Below are 10,447 nucleotides of genomic sequence, written 5' to 3'. Positions count from 1 at the left end.
TTTTCTGATTTATTTCCTTCCTTCCTTCCTTCCTTCCTTCCTTCCTTCCTTCCTTCTTTCCTTCCCTCCCTCCCTCCCTCCCTCCTTTCTTTCTTTCTCTTTCTCTTTCTTTCTTTCTCTTTCTTTCTTTCTTTCTTTCTTTCTTTCTTTCTTTCTTTCTTTCTTTCTTTCTTTCTTTCTTTTTCTATTTCTCTCTTCCTCTCTTTCTTCTTTCTCTCTTTCTTTCTTTTACCAATTTTTAAAAAATGTGTTGAAATACACATAACCTAAAACTTACTGTTTTAACCATTTACATGTGTACAATTCAGTGGTATGAATACATTTATAATGTTGTGCAACCATCATCATGATCCTTCTCCAGAACTCTTTTCATCTTGTAAAAATGGTACTCTATAACCCATCAAACAATCCGCTTTTTCCCTTCCCCCACAGCCTCTGGCAACCACCATTCAACTTTCTGTTTCTGTGAATTTGTGCTTTCTAGCTGCCACCCTATTTGTGGAATCATACAATATTCATCCTTTTGTGACTGGCTTATTTCACTAAGCATAGTCCTCAAGGTTCATCATGTGGTAGCATGTGTTAGAATTCTCTTCCTTTTTGAGGCTGAGTAGTATTGCATGGTACGGCTAGACCACACTGTGTTTATTTATTTACCCATTGACGGACATTTAGGTTGTTTCCATTATTTGGCTGTTGTGAACAATGCTGCCATGAACATTGGCCTACCAAGTGTTTAATTTGAAATGTTAGATAGCTAATATATTTACATGGCTCAAAGATGAAAGAACGAATACCTAGTGGAAAGTCTTGCTCCCACCCATGCCCATGTCACTCAGTTCCCTTCTGCAACGTTTGTTATCAATTTCTTACGTGTCCTTCCAGAGGTATATGATTCCCTTTCTTTTTGGCACAGATAACACTGACTATCCTATAAACATTATTGTGCACCTGTTTTTAACAATGTTTCTTGGAGATCTAAGTTAAGAGCATTCTCGTTATACAATATACAATGAATTCTGCATAGAATATCATTGTATGGATGTACCATATTTTATTCAACCATCCCTGATTGATTGGCATTTAGGTGGTTTCCAAGCCTGTACTTTAGAAACACAGCTGCAATGAATAATCCTGTAGAACTGTCATTTTTTATGCATAAATACATTTGTTTGATACATTCCTGGAAATGGAATTAGTCAAAAGACATTGCATGAGTAATGTATATGTATAGAGTCAAATGTATATAGATAGATATCTATATATATCTCAAAATTACTCATATATACGTGAGTAATATATTTAGCCAAATTGCCCTCCATGGAAGTAGTTCCAGTTTATGCTCCCATCAGCAGTATGAGAGTGCCTGCCTACATGACCTTGCCAACAAAATGTGTTATCCAAGATTTTGACCTTTTCTAATTGGACAGGTGAAAAAGTGGTTGCTGGTATCCAAAGAAAGACTTGTCCAAGAATGTACATAATAGCCTTATAAAAGTGTATAAGAAACAATATACCAGTTAAAAAAAGAAAGAAAGAAAGGAAGAAAGAAAGAAAGAAAGAAAGAAAGAAAGAAAGAGAAAGAAAGAAAGAAAGAAAGAAAGAAACAGCTGTGCCAAGAATAGTGGTGTGTGCCTGTAACCCCAGCTACTCGGGATGCTGAGGTGGAAGAATGGCTTGAGCCCAGGAGTTTGAGGCCAGACTGGGCAACATAGTGAGACCCCACCTCTAAAAAATAAAAAAGACTGTGAAAATCATGCAACTCCAGGGGATCCTCCTCAGTGCCCATCTCAGAGGGGCTGTGGAGGACAGTGGGCAAGGCAGCACCCCCAGGGTCCAGGACAAGGGGGCAAAGAGGCCAATGGGCAGAGAAGGTCATTTCAAAGGCAGAACCAGGGGTTGCTGGCCTGGCACACTGAAGAGCTCAAGACTGCCAACCAGAGTGTCTGCTCTGTTCACTTTTGGTGGGATATGGCATGCGTGTTGTGGATGGGTGACTGCCTTGTATTTTTCTCTTTTCTGAAAAATGTTGATTCACTTATTCTATTACTTGCTTAATACTGTTGAGCAGGTGAATTAAATAATTTATTTATTTTTTAGCTTACAGGTCACTAGACCTTGAGAAGACACATTTGGACCTAAGATTCTGGACTTTGAGCTGGATGTAGCACCTGGGTCAGATATTGGGATGTTGGGGGATCTCTGGGTAGACTGTGGCAGACACTGTCGGATCCTTGGTGAACATTCATCCCACTCTCCTTTGGCCTCTTCTTCCTTGTTTACTAGTTTTGTTGGGGACAGTTAGCATTTGCCCAGCTGAAAGTCATGAGTAATTATGGCTTTATCCCAATCCAGAAGGCTTCAGGGCAATGGTTTGTTTTTCTGGTAAAAAGATCAGATGCAGCTGGTGCCAGCTTTTCTCTCATCTTCCTACCTTGATGCAGACAAGCTGCCTGGACCTGCAACAGCTATCTGGTAACAATGAGGCGACAACTAATGATGATAGGGCAGAACAGGAAAAAGGAGCCTGGGCCTTTGGCCTCACTGGGCTTCTGTACCAGCTCTGCAATTCTTATTTCCAGAGTTCTTGTTATATGATATAATTAAGTCTTTATTGCTTAAGCCACTATTAACATCAATATTCCATTGCTTAGAGCTGGGAGCATTCCTAATGTATACACACGAATGGCTAAAGTCTCATTTCTTAATATTAATGTTTTTTTTAAGTGTCATAAGCTCTGATCAGTTCAGACAACCAATCTCAGGTCCCCCTCCTAGTTTCCCTGAAGGTCGATTGCCCGAACCACCCTACTTTCTGTGTCACTTTTCAAGGACTGTGAAGGGTCTGAGATTTTATACTGCTTGCAAGCTAATAAGTCAGCTTGCCAGAGTTTCATGGATGCTGGCAGAAGACATGAGGCTCCTGGGTCAGAGACAAAGGACTCTGTTACTTATTGCAATGACTATAGCCAGAATACCATCATTTATACCGCTTCCTTGAGCCCCAGGGATGTGAAGATGTTTAGATGATAACTGCATACACAGTGGGGTTCATTTCACGAGAGGAATCCCAAGCCTAAGTAACCTGAATCTTTTATAATGAGTTTAAGCCTTCCTGACTTTTGCCCTGGAAGGAGGCATTATCTTTGTTATTCTGCACAGAGAATCAATAAGCCCTGCCTTCTGCTTCTGAGGACATACCACTGTTTTCCAAAGCTGTTCATTCTCCAAAATCCTTGGAGAGATACCCTGGAACAAAGACAGTGATAACCTCTGCTCTAAGACATGCAGAAAGGTGAGAAACCCATGGCAATTGTCTCCCAACATCAGACTGCATTCTTAGTTAAAAGTAATAGAAATGGGCCGGGCGCAGTGGCTCACACCTGTAATCCCAGCACTTTGGGAGACTGAGGCAGGTGGATCATGAGGTCAGGAGATTGAGAGCATCCTGGTTAACACGGTGAAACCCTATCTCTACTAAAAATACACAAAATTAGCCAGGCATGGTGGCAGGCACCTGTAATCCCAGCTACTTGGGAGGCTGAGGCAGGAGAATGGCGTGAACCCAGGAGGCAGAGCTTGCAGTGAGTGGAGATCGTGCCACTGCACTCCAGCCTGGGCGACAGTGCAAGACAGTCTCAAAAAAAAAAAAAAAAAAGTAATAGAAATGAACTCTGGCTCATTTAAGCAGAAGGAACTTGTTAAACTAAAATAAGATACAACCACTTTAGAGAACTAGATATATGGCATTATCTAGTAAGCCTGGGGAGGCTCATGTGGTAGGACCTATCAATTCTACTCCTAGGAATATACCCTCTAGGAACCCTGGCACACAAAGACCAAGAGCTATGTACCAGAGGGTCTACAGCAGTATTATTTATATTACCATAACATTAGAAATAACTCATATGTCTGCCCGTAAAGGAATGTACAAATTGTGATACATTCTTTCAGTGGAATTCTATTAGAGCCACAGCAGTAAAAATGAGTGAACTAATAGCCACATGTATCATCCTGGAATAATCCATAATCATAGTGTTGAGTGAGATAAAGCCAGTTTCAGAAGGATACATAGAGTATGACACCATTTGTATGAAGTTTAAGAGTATACAGGATGATTGCTGTGTAGTGCTCAGGGTTCCCTAATATAAAGTATTAAAGATGCATGAAAATGGTAATGTCAATTCCAAGCAGTCTGTTGCCTTTCTATGGGGAGGCAAGTAGGATTTAACTGATTTGTCCAAGTTTTACATTTAAGCTTTATTATTGATTAAAATTGTCTAAGAAATAATGTTGGTTAGCTCAGTAGAAGGGTAGAGACATGCAGACCTGGGCTCAGAGGCCACTGAGCCAGGACCAAGGGATATAATCCCAGCACATTCCAGTACAGAGCTGGTCTGGGGAGGACAAAACCGTTGTCATGCTGAAGACTACACCCTCGGTACCAGCACCAGGAGCCCTGGCTCTGGACACAGGTTGCCGCCCCAGCACTATACCACTCCTCCTTCAGGGGCTCAATCTCATTAAACTTCAGAATCATCTGTGGTCTTCGCTTCCTTGCCTCACTCACTCCTGTTTCAAAGCCTCAGCCATGTGATCATGCTCTAGCAGCAAGGGGACTGGGAAGGTAATCAGCTGGCATTTTTGGCCCCTGTAGTGGGAGGTAGCCTCTGCCTGTCACTAAAATTCATAAGATTGGGAGCACCCCAGATGTTGGAAGGAGGTTCAGATGCTGGGTGATCCAAAAAGTGACAATGTTCATGACAAACTTCAATCCATGTGGTCAGGTGGAGTGTGTAAAGAAATCATCCTAGGAAACAGAAATAGAAGAAATGACAACATTCAGGTGGTGTTTTTCTAGAATGTAGGAAGAAAACAGATAAAATTTCATAGGCTAAACTTTACCCAGTTATGAGGAGTACTGAAGTCTCAATTCCTCTGTCCATGGTTGTTTTCTAATGGGTTATTTTTTAAAATTAAACTGAAATGATCTCCTTTGTTAGGCTGTAAGCTCTTCAAAGTCTAGGACCATTCCTTATCTTGGAGAGATGCCATATTTTCTCTGGAAAGCCAGGGGCATTCAGGTCAGAGAGAACTGGGAATGAATCCTGGGTCTGCTGCTGCTTAGCTTAATGGCAGTGGCTCCATTAGACAGCCTTTCTCAGTCTTGGCATCTTTGAAGCCATCCCTATATACTTTATAAAATTAGTCATGGAAGAAGGAAGGGGAAGAAACGAAGATAAACCAAGCTTGCAGCACACACAGTATTAATCATGAGGGCAGCCTGCTCTCTGACCTGCTTCCTCATAGCTGTTTGGTGCCTGTTGCCTCAGAATCACGTAGACCCTGCAAGATTATAGTTCCCCTTAACTGCTCTATAGATAACAGCTTGAGTGTTATAAAGTGTTACATTTTCCATTTGAGATATTCTTTCAGGTTCTGCATACCAATGAAGCTACTGACGTCAGCTGGTCTGAAGGACCTCACAGGAACTGACTCACCAAAGAATGCAGTTTCCATATTCTGATGATTTCATCCCCTCTCCTCTAACCAATCAATGACCCCAATTTTCCAGCCCCTTTCCCCTCCATGATCCCCCTAAAAACCCCAGCCTAGAGCTCCTCAGGGTGATGGATTTGAGGGTCTCCTTCCATCTCCTTGCTTGGAGCCCTGTGATCATTAAACTCTTTCTCTGCTGCAAACTCTGCTGTCTCAGTGTAGTTGGTCTGTTACTGTGCAATGGGCATACCCACCTGTTGGTCCTGTAACACCCTCATGAGCAAAATGGAGCTTGCATCTACTTCTCTGTGTGGTAAAGATGAAATTCAACATGAATAAAATTAGAGAGTAGATGTTCAGTAAATATTTCCTCCTTTCCCTTATCTTTAGGCCCTTTCTATTTCTCTTCAGGCTGCAGCACTGGGCTTAGAAAGCCCTCGGCTGGTGTTTGCTGAATGAACTTGGCTTCATTATAACATTTGCTTCTTCCCTTCCTGTTTGTAGCTGCCATGTGTGAGTTTATCTATAGCCCTTTTGGCAGCTTGGTATAATTCTTTTTTTCATGGGCAGCCTTTAGGAAATTCTTATGTGCCAATGCAACTTCACTGTTGCTACTTTTCTTCATTCGCTAAACAATTCATTTAACAAATGGAAAAACCAGATATGTGCTTGGCTCCAGGGGTAAATGACATGGATCTCACTGCCACGAAACTGGTAGCTGCAATCAGAGGGACGGGCTTGACAATGTCTCCCCTAGAATGGTGAGCTCAGACAATGCACAGCTCTCACGGCCACCTAACCCAGCAGTTCAACATGTGCAGTTTTATTCTGCTGTTATGCCATATAATTCTCCACATTAAAAAAAGAGTTTTCAGTTGATTATGGTTTGGTTTAATTATCTTATCAGAATATTTTGAGAAAATGACATTCCTACATATGTCTCCCAACATACCCAAAGCACAACTTTTACTTTACTTTTATTTACCAAGTCTCAGTGGTCTTTTGGGTAGGAATTAGCCAGGTCCCATTTTAAATTTCCTGCTTCATGTAGTTTCGAAAAGCTCTATTTCCAGTTTTATCTCTACCTCTTCCTACTGAGAAGGATCATGACTACAACAACTGCCACTGAGAACTAATTATGAAGCGGCAGTGAAATTACTGTATCAACAGTCTCATTAATCCAATCACTTGGGATAAACCCTGGTGGAAATTAATAGTGGCTGTAACGTAGCAGGGGATTGGCCTACCGGAAGCACAGGACAGACTGCTGAGCCCATCTGGCTCCAAATTCTGACGCTCAATCCTGTGGAGGAAGGGAAGAAAGACAGGAAGGCGCAGACTTCCAGCAAGGCTGTTGAAAAGAGGTGACAGTGTAGAGTACAGTAACAGTTGAAATGAATGAATCAGGGCTAATGTATGGATAAAGTTCTAAACCACCGTGGAAAGAAAAAAAAAGCAAGTTGCAGAATGACATAAAAGGTTTCGAAATCTACACAACAACTCTTTATGGTATTTATATGTGCATACTTAAATAAAAAACTATTAAATAGGCCGGACTCAGTGGCTCACGCCTGTGATCCCAGCACTTTGGGAGGCCGAGGCAGGTGGATCACCTGAGGTCAGGAGTTCGACACCAGCCTGGCCAACGTGGGGAAACCCCGCCTCTACTAAAAATACAAAAATTAGCCGGGTGTGGTGGTACACCCCTTCTCGGCTACTCAGGAGGCTGAGGCAGGAGAATTGCTTGAACCCAGAGGCGGAGGCTGCAGTGAGCTGAGATTGTGCCATTGCACTCTAGCCTGGGTGACAAGAGCAAAAACTCCGTCTCAAAAAAAAAAAAAAAAGCTATTAAATATACATGGGCACGACAGGTTCTGAATTCAGTATAGTGGTTGTCTCTAGAGAGGGAGGAAGGAGGTGGGAGCTACCTGGGGACTCAAATGTTGCAATGCTTCAATTAAAGACAAGAAAGAGCTGAAGCAAAAGGAGGGAACATGTGTGAGGACAGGAGCTTTGCCACCTCAGATATACAGCCAAGGTGATATACCCAGGAGTAGTTGGAACTGGATGGGAGACCTCAATCCACGTATTGTTTGTGCTGTGGCTGGGTTGTGAGGACCTTGAGTGAGTTTTTGCAATCATTTCTGCACTTCCTTTTGTAGAATGGAGAAACTCATATTGGCCCTGCTTCCTCAAAGTGTTTCTGTGAAAATCCTTCCTTGATGTACATAAATACCTTGTGAAGACCTTTGGGGGAGGGATTCTTAGCAACCCATGAGAGCTTTAGAGCAGGTATGGTCAAGCTGGGAAAAGAGTGAGATGCTCCCAGCAAGGGACCTCTGTATTCATCAGCACTACAGAGCTTAGATGTGGAAAACAAAATCATTCCAAAAAATATGAGGAAATACCTGGCAATTATAGAGAAAAATGTCCCTAAGGCTATTCTACATTTCTTACCTTTAGGGATGGCTCCATGCCTGACAGTACCTGTTGAGACCTTCCAGACTGTTCTGTGTACAGGCTCACCGGGTAGAAGGAAAAGAAGGTGAATGGGAAAAAACATCTGACATTACCTACCTGTAGCAAATCAGTCTGCTCTTCCTCAAGGGCACAAATTGTGCAAGATTCATTTGCATGCATGAGCCTGGGGGCTCTCTATTCAGGGTTTTTACACAGGGGATTTTTAGCTTACTGGGGACATAGAGTGGATACAGTTATATCTTGGAGATCCTCGCCTGCAGTCTCCCCTCAAAAGATGATCCCTTCAATGGACCCTATACTTGCCACCAAAATTTTGACTAATTGTTTGGGTTATTTTATTTTATTCAACTTTTATTTTAAGTTCAGGCGTACATGTGCAGGTTTGTTATATAGGTAAGCTTGTGTCATGGGGGTTTGTCGTACAGATTATTTTGTCACCCAGGTATTAAGCCTAGTACCCATTAGTTATTTTTCCTGATCCTCTCCCTCCTCCCACCCTCCACCCTCTGACAGGGCCCAGTGTGTGTTGTTCCCTTCTATGTGCCCATGTGTTCTCAGAATTTAGCTCTTACTTATAAGTGAGAACATGGGGCATTTGGTTTTCTGTTCCTGCATTAGTTTGCTAAAAATAATGCCATCTAGCTCCATCCATGTTGCTGCAAAAGGCATGATCTTGTTCTTTTTTATGGCTGTGTAGTATTCCAGGGTGTATATGTACCACGTTTTCTTTATCTAGTCTATTATTGATGGGGATTTAGATTGATTCCATGTTTTGCTATTGTGAATAGTGCTGCAGGGAACATATATATGCGTGTGTCTTTATAATAGAATGATTTAAATTCCTTTGGGTATATACCCAGTAATGGGATTGCTGGGTCGAATGGTATTTCTGTTTTTAGGTCTTTGAGGAATCACCACAACGTCTTCCACAATGGTTGAACTAATTTGCAATCTGCTTGGATTATTTTAAGACAAACGACCTCTGCCGGAGGTTGTGTGTGTTGTCTGTTGGGTTTTGGGTATTCATTGCATTTGTCTCTGCATGTCTGTGTCCATTCTCTGTCTCTGGCTGACTTACTGTGTCTGGGTCTCTTTCCTTCCATGCTTCCTCTGTCATTCGTTCTTCTCCCCTTCTTCCTCTTCCAAGACCTTTGCTGCTGCTGTCCACACAATTTCTTCCTGTCTTGGATGACTGCTCTCTTTTCTCTCTTTTTCTTGTGTTTGATCTTTCTCTCCTTATCTGATGTTTCTTTGAATGTTTTCTGGTGCCCATTGGTTGGGGACCAATAAGAAGCCTCTCTCTGTTGAAATGGTCACTCAGACTCAAACTATGACTTCTTCCCTATTTTTCTGCAGGAACACACTTTGCCTTGAGTAGAGCTTGCCGGGAGAAAGTGAAGGGGAGTGGCCATCCATTTTCTTCTGTATGTGGTTCTCTCACTTCTACCAGACACCTAGAGGGAGATGAGGCCAGGACTATGTTGAATTGTCTTTGCCTTTGAGATGATGCTGGGCTGTGGTTGAGATAGTTGCTTTCAGGGAAGTAAATCCCAAGAAGGGGGCGCAATATGACATTGCTGTTCAGAGATGATTATCCTTTGGGATTTCAGAGGGCAGTTCAGTAGACAGAAAAATCCTCATTCAGGCAGTTATAGCTTTTCGCTGTTGCGTGTCCCTGCAGATGGTATCAAAAAGAAAAATAACAGAAAAAAATGGTTCCATTTCTCCTAAGATCTGTGTGGCCCCTTGTCTGGCCTGTGCTCACCACATTGGGATTGTGGAATGAGGACTGAATTTACTTAAGCCTGTGGAATTAATCTGCACCTCTACACTGACGAAGGTGCAGACTGAGACATCGAACAGTGAAATAGTGGGATTGTAAGGCCGTTTGAAGTGAGCAGACAGCGTGAGTTCAAGGTAGCAAGGAAGAGTTCCAGCTTCTTATCTGGGTCTCAGAAAATTTTTAATTTTTTTGGTCAGTGATGACAAGCACTGTGGACTCAGGCTCAGAAGGTTTGGCTGCTAGTTCACAACTAGATATGTTTCTTTAGTTTTTTGTTTTGTTTTGTTTTGTTTTGTTTTGCTTTTTGAGACAGAGTGTCACTCCATCACCTAGGCTGGAGTGCAGTGGCATGATCACAACTCATTGCAGCATCGACCTCCTGGGCTCAAGCGATCCTCCTGCCTCAGCCTCCCAAGTAGCTGGAACTACAGGTGTGTACCACCTCACCTGGCTGATTTTTACACTTTTTGCAGAGACAGGGGTCTTCTTTGTTGACCAGGCTGGTCTTGAACTCCTGGCCTCAAGTGATCCTCCTTGCTCCAGTTAAATGTTAAAGCCAGAGTTAATCTGGATTAAGAGTACATCTATGAGATGCACACACAAACCCTCCCACCCATGTGTGTATCATATAGATGAGAGTGTAGATGCAGCCTATCTAGAGTGTAGACAGATTGCCTCTTCCCT

The 10,447-nt window shown here is 42.4% G+C and overlaps 1 annotated feature.

The window, feature by feature from the left end:
• Window positions 4,609–5,808: an enhancer, noted in NCBI's record as "BRD4-independent group 4 enhancer chr8:28130200-28131399 (GRCh37/hg19 assembly coordinates)". NCBI's record gives its function as "activates an origin of replication core promoter dependent on BRD2, P300/CBP, MED14 and CDK7 cofactors, and independent of BRD4, by STARR-seq in HCT116 cells {active_cell/tissue: HCT116}" and the evidence as "EXISTENCE:reporter gene assay evidence [ECO:0000049][PMID:35650434]".

This window comes from Homo sapiens, chromosome 8 (genome assembly GCF_000001405.40).
Source record: "Homo sapiens chromosome 8, GRCh38.p14 Primary Assembly".
Lineage (NCBI taxonomy): Eukaryota > Metazoa > Chordata > Mammalia > Primates > Hominidae > Homo > Homo sapiens.
This window is presented reverse-complemented; position numbering and strand designations above follow the sequence as displayed.